General features: G+C 51.8%; 2 protein-coding genes across 6 annotated transcripts in view, besides 4 other annotated features; both read left to right on the top strand.

Moving 5' to 3' along the window:
- PHLDB3 (pleckstrin homology like domain family B member 3) overlaps positions 1–4,884 on the top strand; it is a 29,644-nt gene extending 24,760 nt beyond the window's left edge. For 3 of the 5 annotated variants that reach the window (XM_005259169.5, NM_198850.4, XM_047439240.1), the window contains 3 exons: positions 394–610; positions 1,855–1,940; positions 4,443–4,884. In XM_005259169.5, coding sequence (XP_005259226.1) covers positions 394–610; positions 1,855–1,940; positions 4,443–4,577 — 438 coding nt within the window. In that variant the 3' untranslated portion in view covers positions 4,578–4,884. The remainder of the gene's footprint in view (positions 1–393; positions 611–1,854; positions 1,941–4,442) is intronic. The other 2 variants (XM_005259170.5, XM_047439241.1) reach the window with 1 other exon arrangement.
- A 9,494-nt stretch (positions 4,885–14,378) lies between these two features.
- LYPD3 (LY6/PLAUR domain containing 3) lies at positions 14,379–19,200 on the top strand. The gene is made up of 5 exons (NM_014400.3): positions 14,379–14,494; positions 15,531–15,662; positions 16,218–16,388; positions 16,700–16,861; positions 18,140–19,200. The coding sequence occupies exons 1-5, from the start codon at positions 14,416–14,418 to the stop codon at positions 18,634–18,636; spliced, it is 1,041 nt and encodes a 346-aa protein (NP_055215.2). The 5' UTR covers positions 14,379–14,415; the 3' UTR covers positions 18,637–19,200.
- Positions 15,627–16,158: an enhancer, noted in NCBI's record as "H3K4me1 hESC enhancer chr19:43967981-43968512 (GRCh37/hg19 assembly coordinates)". NCBI's record gives its function as "activates a minimal SCP1, AML or CMV promoter by ChIP-STARR-seq in naive H9 embryonic stem cells {active_cell/tissue: H9 hESC(naive)}" and the evidence as "EXISTENCE:reporter gene assay evidence [ECO:0000049][PMID:30033119]".
- Positions 16,401–16,560: a silencer, noted in NCBI's record as "silent region_10717". NCBI's record gives its function as "represses an Ori minimal core promoter by ATAC-STARR-seq in GM12878 lymphoblastoid cells {active_cell/tissue: GM12878}" and the evidence as "EXISTENCE:reporter gene assay evidence [ECO:0000049][PMID:35858748]".
- Positions 16,711–16,760: an enhancer, noted in NCBI's record as "active region_14724". NCBI's record gives its function as "activates an Ori minimal core promoter by ATAC-STARR-seq in GM12878 lymphoblastoid cells {active_cell/tissue: GM12878}" and the evidence as "EXISTENCE:reporter gene assay evidence [ECO:0000049][PMID:35858748]".
- Positions 16,791–16,850: an enhancer, noted in NCBI's record as "active region_14723". NCBI's record gives its function as "activates an Ori minimal core promoter by ATAC-STARR-seq in GM12878 lymphoblastoid cells {active_cell/tissue: GM12878}" and the evidence as "EXISTENCE:reporter gene assay evidence [ECO:0000049][PMID:35858748]".
- Positions 19,201–19,571: the final 371 nt, after the last annotated feature.

Below are 19,571 nucleotides of genomic sequence, written 5' to 3'. Positions count from 1 at the left end.
CGATCTTTATTTCTTTTGATAGGCCTCTGATGTTTCAGGGTGAGCTCTAGGGTCAGAAATACCTGGGTTCGTGTCCCAGTTCTGCTGCCTAGAAGCTCTGTGTGACCTCGGGTGCATTATGTCATCTCTCTGTACCTCATTTTGCTCATTTGTAAAATGGGGCTCACAGTTGCCATGAAGTGCCAAGGAGCTGATGTCCATAAAGTCCTGGGCAGAGCATCACAGTCAATCCACGTAGCCGTTGCATTTGTCAGATGGTCCTAGTTAATATTACCCTCTAAAGGCTGTAGCGGGCCTTACATGCAAGCTGCTATGACTTGCTCCCCTCGAGGGGCTCCAGGCTGTAGAATCCCCCGCCCCTTACATCAGCTGCCCCGTCTCTTTGCTCCCCAGGCCCCACCCACCCCACCCCACCCTCCAGGCCCGCGAATCTTGGATCTCCGGCAGCATCTGGAGGGATGGGGCCACAACCCGGAAAACTGCCCACATGTGCAGGTGTCTGGGTGCTGCTGCCGTGGACCCCTGGTGAAGATGGGCGGCCGCATCAAGACCTGGAGGAAGCGATGGTTCTGCTTTGACCGCCAAGCCCGCCGCTTGGCCTACTATGCGGGTAAGCCCAGCCTGGCCACCATGGGCCCCAGGACGCTGGAATTCCACTCCGGAGGCCTTTCCTCTACAGGCACCAGAAGTCCTGGCCCCCACTTTCCATGTTCCCCAGGATCCAGAAGTTTGGTTCCCTAGCTCCTAACTTCCCTACAACCCAGGAGTCCAGGCTCCCAGCTCTCTCTCTCCTCCAGACCCTGGAATCCAGATCCCCAGCCCCTCTTTAAGCCACCCAGAATTCAAACCCCCAGTCCTCCTCAGGGACATAGATAACAGTTTAGTACAATTCAAGCTTCCCAGGGCCCATGTTCCTAAGACACCCATGAGTCTGAACCTGCACTGTCAGCTGCCCCCAGCCCCCCAATGGCCAGGAGTCTGGGGCCCTTGTCCTTCTTCTCTAGGAGAATCAATTATTCCAAACCTCTCCTTGGACACTTTTTTTTGTTTTTGTTTTTGTTTTTGTTTTTTGGAGACAGAGTCTTGCTCTGTCGCCCAGGCTGGAGTGCAGTGGTGCGATCTCAGCCCACTGCAACCTCCACCTCCCCGGCTCAAGCGATTCTCCTGCCTCAGCCTCCTGAATAGGCGGGACTACAGGCTCATGCCACCACACCTGGCTAATTTTTTGTATTTTTAGTAGAGACAGGGTTTCACTGTGTTAGCCAGGATGGTCTCGATCTCCTGACCTTGTGATCTGCCTGCCTCAGCCTCCTAAAGTGCTGGGATTACAGGCTTGAGCCACTGCACCCAGCCTCCTTGGACGCTTGTATTGTCTCAAATCCTTCTTCCCTAACCTGTATGACCATTTGACTCTACTTGGTGAGTCCTGGCTCTGTCAGCTCTGGCTGTGTGACTTGTGCTGGGTGCCTTAACTTCTCTGAGTCTTGGTTTCCACATCTGTCAGATGGAGATAAATGTACTTACCCCTCCAGGAGAGTTTGAGAGGGTTAGAGATTATACCTAGAAAGCACTTGAGCACTCCCTGAGTTCCTTCCCTTCTCAGAGGCCGAGCATTCAGGGCCTAGGATTCCAGCTCCACAGACCCCACTCCCCAATCATGTCCAGTTTCTGTGCCCAGTCTCCCATCCAGCGTTAACATTCACTCACCTCCCAACCTTTAGAGACCTTCAGACTCTTGTCACCATGTTTCTTACCCAAATCCAGTCTCAGGACTTAGGGCCAATGACCCTCACCTCGACACACACAGACACACCTTTCTCACTGGCTCTCTTTTTCTCTTACCTCCCCTACCAGACAAGGAAGAGACCAAGCTCAAAGGTGTCATCTACTTCCAGGCCATTGAGGAAGTCTATTATGACCACTTACGCTGTGCCTTCAAGGTGAAGCCCCTCAATGTCACCCTGACCTCCCAGTTGGAGACTCAGTTGGAGTCAGGCCTTATCTCATCCCTGGCTCATCCTGGGGAAAGCCACCCGCAGCTTCTCCTGTCAGGGTACTCATAGGAGTACGTGTTTGTCGCAGAGAAAACAAACAGGTCACCTGACTGCAGGGACTAAAAATTAAGAGCCCAGACTCTGGCCTTCAGCCACTGTTAATTTTCTTCTTTTTTTTTTTTTTTAAGACAGAGTCTCATTCTGTCGCCCAGGCCTGAGTACAGTGGCGCCATCTCGGCTCACTGCAACCTCCGCCTCCCTGGTTCAAGCAATTCTCCTGCCTCAGCCTCCTGAGTAGCTGGGATTACAGGCACCGTGCCCGGCTAATTTTTGTATTTTTAGTAGAGACGGGGTTTCACTGTGTTGGCCAGGTTGGTCTCAAACTCCTGACCTCATGATCTGCCCACCTCAGCCTCTCAAAGTTCTGGGATTACAGGCGTGAACCACCGCACCACACGTGGCTCTTTTTTTTTTTTTAGATGGAGTCTGGCTCTGTTGCCCAGGCTGGAGTGCGGTGGCGCCATCTTGGCTCACTGCAACCTCTGCCTCCCGGGTTCAAGCGATTCTCCTGCCTCAGCCTCCCAAGTAGTTGGGATTACAGGCGTGCCACCACAGCTGGCTAACTTTTGTATTTTTAGTTGAGATGGGGTGTCACTGTGTTGGCCAGGCTGGTCTCGAACTCCTGACCTCATGATCTGCCCACCTTGGCCCCCCAAAGTGCTCGGATTACAGGCGTGAGCCACCGCACCTGGCCTGTCACTGTTAATTTTCTTGGAGCAAAAGTTTTAGAGCCAAAATATGGCAGACTCTGATGTCCAACTGGGAATAAATGAATGGAGAGGTCACAGCAAGGGTCGGGCAGCCTGGGAGCATCTAAAGGAGATGATCTGCCAGGCGTCGTGGCTCATGCCTATAATCCCAACATTTTGGGAGACCAAGATGGGAGGACTGCAGGAGGCCAGGAGTTTGAGACCAGCATGGTCAACATAGCAAGATCCCATCTCTGTTTTTTTTTTTTTATTTTTTAAATGAAAAATAAATAAAGGAGATGGTTGTTAGTTGGCTCCTGCCAACAGTTGCCAAGTGGGAGTGGGTCCCATGGTGTTGTCTTATATTTATTTTTTCCCAGAGAACTCAGGAATTGGAACTTGTATAAAGCACAGTGCCAAAAATTTAAATGTTGGCAACTGATACAATATTTAGAAAGCTCTGTGGAGAATAACCAAACTGTGGCTTTTTAGCAATTAGGTTGGAATCTCAGCTATGTGACATCAGGAAAGTGACTTCCTTTCTTTAGCCTTTAGCCTTAGTTTTCTTTGTTTCTTTTTCTTTTTTTTTTTCTTGCTCCATAGACCAGGCTGGAGTGCAGTGGTACAATCATAGCTCACTGCAGCCTCTATCTCTCGGGCTCAAGCAATCCTCCTGCCTCAGCCTCCTGAGTAGCTAGGACTATATGTGTGTGCCACCACACCCAGCTAATTTGTTTTGTTTTGTTTTTCTGGTATTTTTTTGTAGAGATGGGGTCTCCCTCTGTTGCCCAGGCTGGTCTTGAACTCCTGAGTTCAAGCAATCAATCCGCTTCAACCTCCCAAAGTGCTGGGATTGCAGGCGTGAGCCACCCAGCCCGGCCGGCCTGAGTTTTCTCACGTGTAGAATGGGTACGCATCAACCCATTCCATCAGGGTTATTGAGAGGGCTAAAAACAGATTATGGACATAAGGGATTTACTCAATTTGGGATTGGCAAGTGGGTACTCAAATAACGGATTCTAGACACTAACTTTTCCCAGGTACAAGGGGACCTAGATTTTGGGGAGGTGGAATTTGAATGCCTGTATTTCTAATATAGGAGAAGTTAGGCTGAGAGAAGGCGTCATAAGTCCTACTTTTAAATTTCTCGGCCTGGCACAGTGGCTCACGCCTGTAAGCCCAGCACTCTGGGAGGCCGAAGCAGGCGGATCACGAGGTCAAGAGATCGAGACCATCCTGACAAACACTGTGAAACCCTGGTCTGTACTAAAAATACAAAAATTAGCTGGGCGTGGTGGCACACGCCTGTAGTCCCAGCTACTCGGGAGGCTGAGGCAGGAGAATCGCTTGAACTCGAGAGGTGGAGGTTGCAGTGAGCCAAGATTGCGCCACTGCACTCCAGCCTGGCGACAGAGCCAGACTCAGTTTCAAAAAAAAAAGAAAAAAAATTTATCTTGCCCCTAATTTATCAATAGCGCTCTACATATGATAATTTTAAGCACTTCCTTGTGTTAATTCATTTAATCCTTATAACCCAGTGAGGTAGGTGGCATCATTTGGGAAGACAGGGAAACTGACATTCAGATACTTAAGTACCTTGTCCAGTGCCACACAGACTATAAGTAGCAAGGCTGGGTTCGCACCCAGACTGTGGCCGGTGTCTTTTGTCTGAATTACCCTCACTTTCTGCTTATTCCAGAGCCCCAACCCCCGCCTGACCTTCTGCGTCAAAACCTACGAACGCCTTTTCTACATGGTGGCTCCGAGCCCCGAAGCCATGCGCATTTGGATGGACGTCATCGTGACCGCCGCTGACGAAAACCACGCCCCCTGAGTGGCCCCGCCCTCTTGGGGGGAAGTCCCTTCGAGGCTCCGCCGGCGCGGGGCGCGGGGGCGTTCCTAGGCCCCGCCCACTGCCGGAAAACTTGGACGCACCGCTTTGGAACTCTCCCGGGAATTCCGCAGGCGCGGCAGTTCAGCTGGCCTGAGCTGCTGCGTTCTGGGTTGCAGGTGCCTTGCCCCCGACGGGATCGCCGGCCCCTAAGGCCCTGCCCGGGGCAGGAGGAAGATTGCAGGGGCGGGAAGAAACTATTTATTGGTGCTCCTGTGATACCGAATTAAATACGGAGGAAAAACAGGAATTGCTGCTGTGGTTTCCAGCCCAGGCATCCGGGGCCCCTTGACCCCTAGGCAGGACATCTGAGTTATCGGTACCTCTGGGAGCCACGCGTCCCACAGCCGGCTCTCTAGGAATGGAGGCCTTCAACTCTTAAGGTCATAGCTGGGAGAAGAGGGTGAGAGGCATGTCCCCCTTAGTGTTTGGCAGTTTTGCTTTTTTAGTTTGTAGGCCCTTCTGTTTCCACCCTTTCTGGCCTGACCGGCTGCTGGAAATTTCTAGGAACTCCTAGGCTTCCCCCCTTTAGGCCTTTGCCTACGTTGTTCCCTCTGCCCTTTTCTTCCCTTTTTTTCTTTTATCTATTTATTTTTATAGAGATGGGGTCTCACTGTGTTGCCCAGGCTGGTCTCCAACTCCTGGACTTAAGCGATCCACTCACCTTAGCCTCCCAAGGTGCTGAGATTACAGGTGTGAGCCACCACGCCTGGCCCCCCTCCTTCCCTTAATCAGCTGCACCTCATTCTTCCAGCCTTAGTTCAGTTGGCACCTCCTTCAGGAAGCCCTCACTGACTTTCCTGGCTGGGTCAGGCACCCCCTTTTGAGCTCTGTCATCCCATCCCTGAGGACCCTGGGTCATCATGGGCGATGGATCTGTGTCCTTTATGCACTGGGAGCTCCATGAGGCAGAGCCAGCATTGTCCTGGTCACTGCTGTTCCCAGCACCATAGAGCATGTCTCATTCCATGAAAGTGGAAAAAAACAAAAAATAAAACTCGCTTCCCTTTCACCTCTGGGCCTTTGTACGTTCTGTTCCCTTTGCTTAGGCACCTCTCCCCATTCCACAAAAGCCCTGCTCATCATTTAGCTTTTAGTTCCTATATTAAGTCTCTTTCTCCAGGAAGCCCTCCCTGATTGTCCTGGCAGGTCAGATGCTTCCTCTGGGCTTTTCTTTTTTTTTGAGACTGAGTCTCAGTCTGTCGCCCAGGCTGGAGTGCAGTGGTGCAATCTCGGCTCACTGCAACCTCCACCTCTCAGGTTCAAACGATTCTTCTGCCTCAGCCTCCCGAGTAGCTGGGATTACAGGCACCCACCACCACACCACGCCTGGCTTTCTTTTTTTTGTATTTTTAGTAGAGATGGGGTTTCACCATGTAGTCCAGGCTAGCCTCCAACTCCCAGGCTCAAGCGACCTGCCTGTCTCGGCCTCCCAAAGTGTTGGAATTACAGGCGTGAGCCACTGCTCCTGGCCCTGGGCTTTTCATTATAGCCCTGACAGCTCCACCTGTGCCTCCCCATTCCCAGCCCTGATCATTCTATCCTGTGCATCTCTCATCATGGCCTTCACTACCTGGGATCATCACTGCTGTTGAGTCTGTCTCCCGCTCTGGCCTGGGAGTGAGTGCTGTCTTGGTCACCACTGAACCCTTGGTACAGCAGAGGGCCTGGTGCATACTGCGTACGGAGGGAACATCTGGTGGTTGAATAAACTGATGGGAAAGTGATGCTAAGGGCTGGGGACTGTCATGAACAAGGCAGGCAGAGCTCTTTGGCTGACTTCATCCTTCAGGTCTCATCTACGGCGCCCGTTCCTTCAAGAAGCTCTCCCTGACCCCTAGGCTGGGTCAGGTGCCTGTTCTGGGCCTCTACAGTCCTCCAGGGTCCCCCACTTGAGCACTCTAGGCTGTCATTCTGGAGACAGCTCTTTCCTGCCTCAAAAAGTTCCCTTGAGGACCCAGATATAGTGCTCTGAGTCCCGGGAGTGCAGACACCCAAATTCCTAGGTCCTCTGGGACTGTAGGTGTCCCTTGGCCTCTACCTTCAGGTATGTGACATCTGGATTCTTGGATCAGTTCATCCCCCAGCCCCTCTGCAAACTGGGTCCCTTACTGAATCCCGCTTCATGGGCATCTGACCAATGTAGACGACAGCTCCCCGTGTTCAGAAGAGCCCTGCTCTTGGGTTTAATGCTCTGTGGTCACTGTGTAGAAATTCGTAAATGTATCTTTGAATTTCTGTTTTGTAAGCTAAGACTAATGAGATAATGAAAGCATGATGAGGCAGCCTCACCTCTCTGGGACAAGTTTCCACTCCTGTCCCCACCTCTTTTTTTTCTTGAGACGGAGTCTTACTCTGTCACCTAGGCTGGAGTGCAGTGGCGCGATCTCGGCTCACTGCAACCTCTGCCTCCCAGGTTCAAGCGATTCTCCTGCCTCAGCCTCCTGAGTAGCTGGGATTTTAGGCGCTGGCCACCACACCCGGCTAATTTTTGAATTTTTAGTAGAGACAGGGTTTCACCATGTTGGCCAGGCTGGTCTGGAACTCCTGACCTCAAGTGGTCCGCCTGCCTGGGCCTCCCAAAATGCTGGGAATACAGGTTTGAGCCACCGTGCCTGGCCTGTTCCCTTCTTAACTCTGCCCCGTGATCACTGGCACTCTCCACTCCTGCTGCAGGCACGCCACAAGAAGATCAGGGTTGGGTACCTGTGCCTCATGGTATCTTGGGGTGGAACATGGCGGTGGGCATCTGGTGGGATGGGGAACCCAGCCAGGCTGCCCACGTTGTGGGGCAGGGTCCCTAGCCACCTTTGAAGATCTGTGCTGGTCCCACAAGTATCTCTGTGCCCAAGGGAACATAACATTAAACACCATGAGGGGTCAAGAGAAAGGCTGAGGGCCAGGTGCAGTGCCTCATGCCCGTAATCCTAGCATTTTGGGAGGCTGAGACAGGAAGATCACTTGAGCCCAGGAGTTTGAGACCAGCCTGGGCAACATAACAAGACCCTTTTTCTACAAAAAAAAATTTAAAAATTAGCTGGACATGGTGGCACACACCTGTAGTGGCAGCTACTTGGGAGGCTGAGGTGGGAGGATTGCTTGAGTCCGGGAGATAGAGAGGCTGCAGTGAGCTGTGAGCTGCATGCCAGCCTGGGTGGCAGAGTGAGACTGTCTCAAAAAAAAAAAAAAAAAAAAGATTGAGGCAGAAGAAAGGAAAAAAAAGTGTTTCTATTTTAGTACCTTTAACAGCACTCTTTCCTGTTTTTTTTTTTTTTTTTTTTTTTTTTTGGTGAGAATGGAGTTTTGCTCTTGTTGCCCAGGCTGGAGTGCAATGGTGCGATCTCAGCTCACTGCACCCTCCGCCTCCTGGGTTCAAGCGATTCTCCTGTCTCAGCCTCTGGAGTAGCTAGGATTACAGGCACACGCCACCACACCTGGCTAATTTTTTGTATTTTTAGTAGAAATGGGGTTTCACCATGTTGGTCAGTCTGGTCTCGAACTCCTAATTTCTGGTGATCCTCCCACCTCGGCCTCCCAAAGTGCTGGGATTACAGGCGTGAGCCACCGTGCCCGGCCTCTTTTCCTGCGTTTTGAACCAGGTCTCTAAATTTCATTTTGCACTGGGGCCCGAAAATTATACAGTCAGCCCCATCCCTGACTCCACTCCTTCCCTAACTTGTCACAAACAGTGTGTCCCAGAGGGAGTGGGCCTGAGTCAGGCTGGGAACCTCACTGGCGTCAGAGCCTGGTCTGCCACAGGGAGACGAGAAATCCAGAGTGAATATGGTCCTGGGCTTGTCTGAGGCCTGGGAGTGATCTGTATTGCTGGCAGCTGCCTCCGCACTGACCCCTGAGCCAGATTCTAGATTCTCTGCCATAAAATCTGCAAAGGACCCAGAAGAGCCAGCCACCTACCACGCAGCAGGCTTAAGTGGTGCCCTGCATTCAAACCTCCTTCTGTTCTCTGGTCATGGGCCAGGCGGGGGTCAGCGCCTAGAATCTGGGCAGGCCTGAGCAAGAGGTACCTCTCCACCCTGGGTCCCACTCCCTCCCGAGATGCTAGTTCTTCTGGTCTGGCCAGTTGGGGTTCCTCCCTGAAACTCTCCCACACAGCTGGGACCTGCAGGGCCTCCTGCTTCAGAGCAGCACACAATAATAATGCTAGTCTCACCCTGCCTGTCACTCACTGGGTCCCCGCTCTATCCTTCAGGAGGTAGGGGTTTTCAGGGGAAGTTCAGAGAGGGAGATGGAGTTGCTTGAGGTTACACAGCAAGAGGGTGGCAGAGATAGGATTAAAATGTGTCTGTCCACTTCCAGACTTGATATTTTGCCCACTGCCTTACCCTACCAATGAAAGATAGTCCTTCTTTTATTATAAAAAAGACACTTTGGGCCCGGCATGGTGGCTCACGCCTGTAATCCCAGCACTTTGAGAGGCCGAGGCAGGCAGATCACCTGAGGTTGGGAGTTTGAGACCAGCCTGACCAACATGGCGAAACTCCATCTCTACTAAAAATACAAAAAATTTGCTGAGTGTGGTGGTGGATGCCTGTAATCCCAGCTACTCGGGAGGCTGAGGTAGAAGAATCGCTTGAACCTGGGAGACAGAGGTTGCAGTGAGCTGAGATTGCGCCATTTGCACTCCAGCCTGGGAAACGAGTGAAACTCCGTCTCAAAAAAAAAAAAAAAAAAAAAGACACCTTGGAGGCTCAGAGAGATGAAAGCATTTATGCAGCATCACACAGCAAAGCAAGAATCAGGGCTGAGATTCCAAGGCTGGGAGGCGGGCGGAGGGAGGGGGAAGGGGACAGTGCTGAATGAATGACTTCACAAGAAGTCATTCACTTTCTCTCTCTCAGCTTCAGCATGATGCCAAGTGACCTCACCCAGGTGACTGAAGTGCTCGTCATTGTTGGGAACGGGGGTGCCTCACAGGGTCTGGAGAACAGATAATATCTTTATAAACACGACCGCTGCTTGTCTCGTCATCAGACAGTGAGCCAGCCCCCTGCAGCCGGGTCTGACATCTGACTCTGCCGCTTCCCTTGCTGTGTGAACTTGAACAGATACCTTCCTCTCTCTGGGTCTCAGAGTCTTCCTCTGTGAAGGAGATCTTCCTCTCTACCCCCTCGTTAGGAATTCAAGGCAAGATTGCTTGTATAAGAGCTGACCACCCTGTGTGGCACACGGTTGGAGCTCAAGAAGTGAGGGCTGTTAATAATAATAGTTATACTAACAATCTATTTATTATTATTATTATTGAGACAGGGTCTCACTCTGTGACTCAGGCTGGAGTACAGTGACGTGATCACAACTTACTGCAGCCTTGACCTCCCAGGCTCAATGCGATCCTTCCACCTCGGCCTCCCGAGTAGTTGGATCTACAGGTGTGCACCACCACACCTGGCTACTTTTTGTATTTTTTGTAGAGATAGGGTTTCACTATGTTGCCCAGGCTGGTCTCAAACTCCTGGGCTCAAGTGATCTGCCCGCCTCAGCCCCCACAAAATGCTGGGATTACAGGCACCAGCCACTGTGCTTGGCCCTTAACCTATTATTAGTAATAAAAACTAATGCTTTCATAACTCCTAGAATTTGACCCTATTTTAATCATTTCACATATATTTAACATTGATGCCCTAGCAGTATAGTATTTCACATATATATAACATTGATGCCCTAGCAGTATAGCACCTAGTATGATGTGGGTACTACTAAGACCCTCATTTTATGGATGAGGATGAGGGCACTGAGGCACACAGGGGCCAAGTAATTGTCAAAGTTTCACAGCTGATATCCAATGGACCCATGTACCTAATTATAGGTACTGTTAGTTAAGCCAGACTGCCTGAGTTCAAATACTGTCTCCTAGCATTGTGACTTCCTAGCTTTGTGACCCTGAGCAAGTTGTTAAGCCCCCCATGCCTGCCTCGATTTCCCCATTTGTAAATTGACCATCATAGAAATCTCTCATAGGATTGTGTGTAAAGGGTGTGGAAAGTTGCCTGGCACAGAGGAAGCACTGAATGCATGTGCTTTTGTCATAGTCTTTGTTTAGACAGGAAGCCTCTGAACATCAAAGAATTGGAGTCACTTGATCAAGTCACACAGCAGATTAGGGGCAGAGTTGGTATTCAAATGCATGCCTGTCTGGCTGTAAAACTAAGGGTCATTGCAAAATATAATCTCAGGCCTAAAGCCAGGCTCTGACTTTGGCAAATGGCATGGGGGCCTTTGGAGACAGCCCTGGATTCAAATCCCAGTTCTGCCACTTCCAAGCCTCTCCCAGTCTCAGTTTTCCCATCTGTGAAATGAGACTTAGTTCTCTCTTTGCAGAGCTGTCGTGACATTCAGAGAGGATTCACAGAAAGTGCTAAGCACAGAGTAAGTGGTTAATAAATGCTAATAACCATACTTACAGGTGAGGATTAAATGAGATAATGCATGCCCCCTGTTCAAAACAGTTTCTGGGAAACAAACACTTGATACTCAGTCACTGTTGTTATTATGACTTTTGTTACCATTGTTATTAATGTCATGATGTGGTTTATGGCAAGAACTGTCTGGAATTAGCTTGGAAACCTCCCACTTCCTCTTCCCTCACATTGGATCCATCAGTAATCCCTACCTGTTCTTCCTCCTAAAATATTTTAGATCTTTCCACTCTTCACCTTTCCTTTGGGACACCCTTGGCTAAGTACATCTGCTCTGGCCTGTGTCAATGTTCTCCACCAGGGACACACCTGTGGTTGAACAAGTTGGGTTTATTGCTTCTTGCAATGAGGGAGAAAACACACCATGAGGTAACTGTGAGGTGTCTAAGTAAAAGGGTGTTAGAAAGGATTGATTTTTTTTTTTTTTGAGTCAAAGTCTTGCTCTGTCACCCAGGTTGGAGGGCAGTGGCGCAAATCTCGGCTCACTGCAACCTCTGCCTCCTAGGTTCAGCGATTCTCCTGCCTCAGCCCCTACTCCCCAGGAACTGGGATTACAGGTGTGTGCCACCACACCCAGCTAATTTTTTGTATTTTTAGTAGAGACGGAGTTTCACCACATTGGCCAGTCTGGTCTCGAACTCTTGAGCTCAGGTGATCCACCCCCTTGGCCTCCCAAAGTGCTGGGATTACAGGTGTGAGCACCTGGCCAGAAAGGATTGATTTTAAGATTTGGGCTTGTGTGTGGTGGTCTTGGGAATGGTGCAAGGAAGTGGGACCTCGTTCTAGTTTGGATACTGTTAAACAGAGGAGGAGTAATGCTGTGGTTGGGCATTTGCATAAATCTCATTTATGAGGCAGGAGAAATAAAGTGAGGTTAAAGTTGTAACTTTAATATAATATAAGCAGTCATTTATATTAGCCAGGATATGGGGATGCTTAGTCATTCTGCGGTTTGCACAATGACCTTGTTTGTTTCTGTGTTCAGACATGGCTATGGATTGGTCTTGATTTTGTTTTTCTTTGTTTTTTGTTTTTTTGAGACAGGGTCTCACTCTGGTTGCCCAAGCTGGAGTGCAGTGTCGCAATCTCAGCTCACTGCAGCCTCAACCTCCCAGGCTCGGGTGATTCTCCCAGCTCAGCCTCTCAAGTAGCTGGGATTATAGGTGCACACCCCCACGCCCAGCTAATTTTTTGTATTTTCAGTAGAGACGAGGTTTCGCTGTGTTGCCCAGGCTATTGATTTGTTTCTTGATCCTTTACTGTCGCAGTGTGGCCTTGTCCAGGTTGGTGCTCTGTGAAATTATCTAGGCGCAGTTGAACTCCATGGCCTCACTATGTGTGTCAGGCCAACTCCCAGCTGTTAGGGGCTGTTTTTCTCTTTCTTCCATGGAAAACTACACGGCCCCCTGTTGGTTTCCTGGCCTTCTCTCTCACCCCTTCTAGAGTCATTTTCCTTTTTTACACAGAGTCCACAGTGACATTCTTTACCTTGTTTTTATTGAAGAATAACATACGTCCAGTGACAGGCCTGAGTCAGTGATTCTCAACGTATCTGTACACACATGCAGCTGTCACCTAGATGAAGATCGTGGGGGCTCCTCCCTGTTGCTCCTTCTGGGGCCATGCCCTCCCAAAGGTAACATGTGTTCTGATTTCTATCACCACTGGTTAGTTTTGTCTGTTCTGAAACTTCATATATATTCAGTTACACAGTATGTTTTGTTTGTTTGTTTAAGGCTTTCTAAACTCAACACCAAGTTTTTTCTTTTTTTAAAATAAAATGAGATGGGATCTCACTATGTTGCACAGCCTGGTCTCAAAACCCCTGGGTTCAAGTGATCCTCCCACCTTGGTGTCTCAAAGTGCTGGGATTACAGGTGTGAGCCACTGTGCCTGGCCCCAACACAAAGTTTTTGAGATATGTTGCTGCATATATCAGGTGTTGGATCTTTTCTATTGCTGTGTAGTATTCCATTGGCCGAACCAACCACTCTCTTTTGCCATTCACTTCTTTTTCTTTTTCCTTTTTTAAAATCATATATCCTACTCTCAGATCCATTTACTTTTTTTTAATTTTTAAATTTTTAAATTTTTTTTTTTGAGACAGGGTCTCACTCTGTTGCCCAGGCTGGAGTGCAGTGGCGTGATCTCAGCTCACTGCAACCTCCACCTCCTGGGCTCAAGTGATTCTCCTGCCCTACCCTTCCGAGTAGCTGGGACAGCAGGTGCACGCCACTGCACCTGGCTAATTTTTTTAAATTTATTATTTTTTTTTAATAGAGATGAGGTTTCGCCATGTTGCCCAGGCTGGTCTCAAACTCCTGATCTCAAGTGATCCACCCAGCTCGGCCTCCCAAATTGCTGGGATTACAGGCATGAGCCACCGCGCCCGGCCTCCATTTACTTCTTGATGGCTAGCTGCACTATTTCTCAGGTTGATCATATTAGGAAGCAAATCTATTATGTCCTCCAGCTCATTTAGACCCTCTTAAAGGTTCTCTACTATTCTCAAAATTAATCCAAATCTCTTGTCGGGGCCTCTGATGCCCTGAGTGTCTCGGCCTCTGCCTGACTCTTTCATCTCAGTTCCTGCCCTTCTCTCATGGACTTCTGAGCTCAGGAGCACTGCTCTCCTTTCCATGTTTGAATGGTCCATCCTACCTCCTACCTCCAGGTGCTCCCACGTGCTGTTCCCTCTGCTTGTAAAGGGCTGTGTCCCTCTCTTGACCTGCTCTAGCTGGCTACATCCTGCATGCCCTTGAGGTTGCATCTCAGATAACCTCAAGGAAGCCCTCACCGACCAGCCCCCACTTCTAGACTGCACATCTCCTTGTATCACTACACTTTTTCCTTCAGTGTCTTAGTCTCTTTGGTAAACACCAATTTGTACGATTATTTGATTAGCATCTGTCTCCCCCATCAGACTGTGAGCTCTGCCAGGACAGGCACTGGTTCTGTCTTCATCTCCAGCATTACCTAGACCAAAGCCGGGCACACTGTAGATGCTCATTTAACAGTTACCGAACACTGAATGTCGAGTAGCCCCAGCCTGTCTTTAAGCCCCACTACTCTCCCACTCCAAACACACACAGACTTTCTCCCGCGAGCTGTCAGGGAACCTCAGCTCCCACCCTTTCCCTCCTTGGCAACTTCACAGGGCAGGGACCGCTCTCCCTTGGATGACGCGCCTAGGGGCGGGGCCCCGCCCCACAGCCGACGCTGAGTTGGCCCGGTTGGGCAAGGCTGGGGTTGCCTGGGGCGAGGTTACTCATCCTGGGCTCAGGTAAGAGGGCCCGAGCTCGGAGGCGGCACATCCAGGGGGGACGCCAAGGGAGCAGGACGGAGCCATGGACCCCGCCAGGAAAGCAGGTGCCCAGGCCATGATCTGGACTGCAGGCTGGCTGCTGCTGCTGCTGCTTCGCGGAGGTGGGTCTGCTGCCCGGAGAGGTGGAGGGGGTAGAGTGGGGGCTCTTAGGGAGGAGGCTCCTCTGGCCCCGTACAGAGAAGGCTGTGGGAAGGATCCCCACATAAGCAGAGGGCACTGTGGGCAAAGTTCCCCCATCCTAAGCAAGGGAGGCAGAGGGAAGGGTCCTCCACCATGGGCCGTAGGAAGGGTTCCCCACCACGGACAAGGGGAGCTGTGGGCAAAATTTTCCTATCCTGAAGCTGCAGAAAGAAGTCCCCTGTTCCTAGGCCGGGCGCGGTGGTTCATGCCTGTAATCTCAGCACTTTGGGAGGCCGAGGCAGGCGGATCATGAGGTCAAACGATCGAGACCAGCCTGGCCAACATGGTGAAACCCTGTCTCTACTAAAAATACAAAAATTAGCTGGGCGCGGTAGCGCGAGCCTGTAGTCCCAGCTACTCGGGAGGCTGAGGCAGGAGAATCGTTTGAATCCAGGAGGGGAGGTTGCAGTGAGCCGAGATTGCGCCACTGCACTCCAGCCTGGCGACAGAGCGAGACTCCGTCTCAAAAAAAAAAAAAAGAAAAAAAGAAAAAAAGAAAAAAGTGTTCCCTGTCCTGGGCAGAGAAGCTGTGGGTAGTGTTCTCTCATTTGAGCAGAAGGGGGCTGTGGGAAGGGATCCCTCACTGAGCACAGTCTACTGTGGGAAAAGTTCTCCCACACACTGTGGGAAAAGTTCTCTCATTCTGAGCAGAAAACCGTGAGGAGGTATCCTTCCTACCCCGGGATGAGGGGCTTCATGGCGGGGATCGCCTACAGTGGGCATACAGGGCTGTCGGAAGGATGTGCCCACAGTTGGCATAGTGGGTGTGAAGGAAAAGGGTCCAGTGATTCCCGTGCTTCCAGATTTGTGGAAAGCTTTTCCCTACTCCTGCCCTGGAAAAGTGTGTGCAATAAGACTGTCTAATCCCGGGACAGAGGGCATGGGAAGGACTATTTCTCCTTGGGGGTGGACGCTTTAGCAAGGAGGGCTCAGGTCTATTCGGCTCCGCTCCCCCAGGAGCGCAGGCCCTGGAGTGCTACAGCTGCGTGCAGAAAGCAGATGACGGATGCTCCCCGAACAAGATGAAGACAGTGAAGTGCGCGCCGGGCGTGGACGTCTGCACCGAGGCCGTGGGGGCGGTGGAGACCAGTGAGTGGGGACCCCCGGGCCACGCACACCACTGCAGGCTCCTCCGGCCCAGCCCCGCCTCCTTATAGTCCTTTCTGGATCTGGCCACGCCCCTTTAACGCGGCCCCACCCCTCCCTTTCAGCCTGGCCGGGACCCTACGACACAGCCTTGCAGGCCAGGCCTTCTCTATTAACAATTACAAGCGCGAGGAGCAGAGAGTTGAGAACTGGGTGGGGCGGACGGGGAGAGCTCGGGTTTGGAACGAGGTCACGTCCTATGCACTTTTTCTGCTCCACCAATGAGACCTCCCCATCCCTGCCTGTCAACCAGGCTGTCTCCTCCGACTCAGCTCTTTGAGGTTCCGCCCCCGTTCCGTGACCCCGCTCCTCCCTGCTTCGGTCGTTCTTTCCGCTCTGAGCGGCTCTTTGGGGGCGTCCATCCGCCAATTCCTGCCTGTCGGTCCTGTGGTGTTGGCCTATTTGAGGCCCCGCCCCTCCCAGACCCTACCCAACTCTGGGCCACGCCCCATCTGAGACCACGCCCACAGCTAATCCCGCCCTTGTCCCTCTCCCTAGTCCACGGACAATTCTCGCTGGCAGTGCGGGGTTGCGGTTCGGGACTCCCCGGCAAGAATGACCGCGGCCTGGATCTTCACGGGCTTCTGGCGTTCATCCAGCTGCAGCAATGCGCTCAGGATCGCTGCAACGCCAAGCTCAACCTCACCTCGCGGGCGCTCGACCCGGCAGGTCCGTGGGGGCCGGGCCGTAGCTGCGGGGGCGGAGCCACATTCGGGCCTGCCAAGATAGAGGTGGAGCCGTGGCAGAGGCGGGAGTACTCGACCTGGGCTGGGGGTGGGGTCACACTCTGGGGCGGGGCCAAGAGGCAGCAGGAGGGACTTTCTGGCTGTAGGCGCCGCGAGGTTGCGCGCTGGGGCGGGGCTACTAGTAGGCGGGGTCATCGATAGTGCCGGGGCCAGGCCTTAGGGGCGGGGCTAGAGGACGAGCTGCGGTTCCCGAACCCTTTCGACACCTTTTCTTCCTCTCGGCTCCCCTCGCAGGTAATGAGAGTGCATACCCGCCCAACGGCGTGGAGTGCTACAGCTGTGTGGGCCTGAGCCGGGAGGCGTGCCAGGGTACATCGCCGCCGGTCGTGAGCTGCTACAACGCCAGCGATCATGTCTACAAGGGCTGCTTCGACGGCAACGTCACCTTGACGGCAGGTGAGGGAGCCCCGGAGCACGGGACCTACGGGAGTTGTGGTAGCCCTTCTGAAGCACCCTGGGCGGTAGGGAGCCCTTTACCCAAAGCGTTTCCTTAACCTGCGACGCATTCTGGGAATCGTGGGGCCTAGGTGCTTGTATCGTAGGGCATCATGGAAAATGCAGTCCCTTCCCCCAACATATTAATAGTGTGGGGATAGTGATGCTTTGTCCCAGAGTGTTTTGGAGGGAAATGCATTTCCATAGAGGGCTGCCAGGTACTTAAGAGGTATTTAAGCCTCTAAGCTTCTGCCCAGGCACTGCGGGGAATCTCTAGTTCTTAGCCCTTAAAACTCAAGGGGTCCCCCGCCTGTCCCAGACTATTGAGAAATGTAACCATGGAAAATGAAGTTCTTCAAATCCCATCCCCTGCCAGTTATGCTATGGAAGATGTAGTTCTTTTTTATTTTATTATTACTATTTTTTTTTAAAGACAGCATCTTGCTCTATCGCCTAGCCTGGAGTGTAGTGGCGCAATCATAGCTCACTGCAGCCTCTACCTCTTGGGCTCAAGCAGTCCTCCCGCCTCAGCCTCCCAAGTAGCTGGGACTACAGGGTGCACCGCCACGACTGGTTCCTTTTATTTTTGGTAACAGTGGGGTCTTGCCATGTTACCCAGGCTGGTATTGAACTCTTGGGCTAAGAGATCCCCCTGCCTAGGTCTCCCAGAGTGCTGGGATTACAGCCGTGAACCACTGAGCCTGGTGTGGAGATGTAACTCTGACTCTAAGAGTAAATTCTGATGGGGAGGTAAAAGCCAGGGTGAAGGCTAAGGGGATAATGGTGAGAGGGTTGTAGAGGAAGTTTGTTCTGCACTGTGGTCTTGTGAGAGGTCTTGTATCTCAGTCTAAGCCTTTGTTTTAAACCCTACTTTTGGTTCAGCCTACACACATTTCCATTCAAAGCACAATGGAAAATGTTAATCCACCATGTGCCAAAGACAGTGAGTCTGTCTGTTTCTCATAGTAGGACCTGAGTTGAGATTTTGGGATTAATGGATGCAGAGACTTTCTGTCTCATTTTGGGGGTTCTCTGTTCTTTTTTTTTTTTGCAAGACAGAGTCTCACTCTGTTGCCCAGTGATCCACCTGCCTCGGCTTCCCAAAGTGCTGGGATTACAGGCGTGAGCCACCACGCCCGGTCAGGTTCTCTGTTCTTGTCTGATGCCTCTAAGTTTTGTTCTGGCCATGTCAACCTCTCTCCCTCCAGCCACTGACCTATCTGTGTCTCCTTCCTGCAGCTAATGTGACTGTGTCCTTGCCTGTCCGGGGCTGTGTCCAGGATGAATTCTGCACTCGGGATGGAGTAACAGGCCCAGGGTTCACGCTCAGTGGCTCCTGTTGCCAGGGGTCCCGCTGTAACTCTGACCTCCGCAACAAGACCTACTTCTCCCCTCGAATCCCACCCCTTGTCCGGCTGCCCCCTCCAGAGCCCACGACTGTGGCCTCAACCACATCTGTCACCACTTCTACCTCGGCCCCAGTGAGACCCACATCCACCACCAAACCCATGCCAGCGCCAACCAGTCAGACTCCGAGACAGGGAGTAGAACACGAGGCCTCCCGGGATGAGGAGCCCAGGTTGACTGGAGGCGCCGCTGGCCACCAGGACCGCAGCAATTCAGGGCAGTATCCTGCAAAAGGGGGGCCCCAGCAGCCCCATAATAAAGGCTGTGTGGCTCCCACAGCTGGATTGGCAGCCCTTCTGTTGGCCGTGGCTGCTGGTGTCCTACTGTGAGCTTCTCCACCTGGAAATTTCCCTCTCACCTACTTCTCTGGCCCTGGGTACCCCTCTTCTCATCACTTCCTGTTCCCACCACTGGACTGGGCTGGCCCAGCCCCTGTTTTTCCAACATTCCCCAGTATCCCCAGCTTCTGCTGCGCTGGTTTGCGGCTTTGGGAAATAAAATACCGTTGTATATATTCTGCCAGGGGTGTTCTAGCTTTTTGAGGACAGCTCCTGTATCCTTCTCATCCTTGTCTCTCCGCTTGTCCTCTTGTGATGTTAGGACAGAGTGAGAGAAGTCAGCTGTCACGGGGAAGGTGAGAGAGAGGATGCTAAGCTTCCTACTCACTTTCTCCTAGCCAGCCTGGACTTTGGAGCGTGGGGTGGGTGGGACAATGGCTCCCCACTCTAAGCACTGCCTCCCCTACTCCCCGCATCTTTGGGGAATCGGTTCCCCATATGTCTTCCTTACTAGACTGTGAGCTCCTCGAGGGCAGGGACCGTGCCTTATGTCTGTGTGTGATCAGTTTCTGGCACATAAATGCCTCAATAAAGATTTAATTACTTTGTATAGTGCTTTAAAGGAGTCACTTCCACCTTGTTTCTCGCAATAACCGCTCTAGCTGAGCTAGGGTGGGCATCATAAAGCCTTTAACGGGAGAGATATGGGACCTAGAGCCGCAGTCCTGGGGGAAGTCACGGTTGAACTTTAATCTCCTGGGTCTATCCTGCATGTGGGTGGTCCCACTGGTGAGGGGGAGACCGGGCGAAACCATTAAGCAGCATGGAGGGGCGAATGGGGCTTTTAGCAATGCCAGGGAATAGAGAGCTTTGTCTAATGAGTTTATGTACCCTCCCTAGGCTCCACCCGCCTTGTCATCCAGCCAGCCGTCTGCATTGTTTTAGAGACGGGGTCTCTGTTCACCCAAACTGGACTGCAGTGGCCC

This window comes from Homo sapiens, chromosome 19 (assembly GCF_000001405.40).
Source record: "Homo sapiens chromosome 19, GRCh38.p14 Primary Assembly".
NCBI lineage: Eukaryota > Metazoa > Chordata > Mammalia > Primates > Hominidae > Homo > Homo sapiens.
Note: the sequence above shows the minus strand (reverse complement) of the source record. Positions and strands in the feature narration are given on the sequence as shown.

Excerpts from the sequence above, each read along its gene's own strand:
- LYPD3 (NM_014400.3), top strand. The coding sequence starts at position 14,416 with ATGGACCCCGCCAGGAAAGCAGGTGCCCAGGCCATGATCTGGACTGCA. Across the intron at positions 15,663-16,217 it reads CGTGGGGGCGGTGGAGACCA|TCCACGGACAATTCTCGCTG; the intron begins GTGAGTGGGGAC and ends CCCTCTCCCTAG. Across the intron at positions 16,389-16,699 it reads GCGGGCGCTCGACCCGGCAG|GTAATGAGAGTGCATACCCG; the intron begins GTCCGTGGGGGC and ends CTCCCCTCGCAG.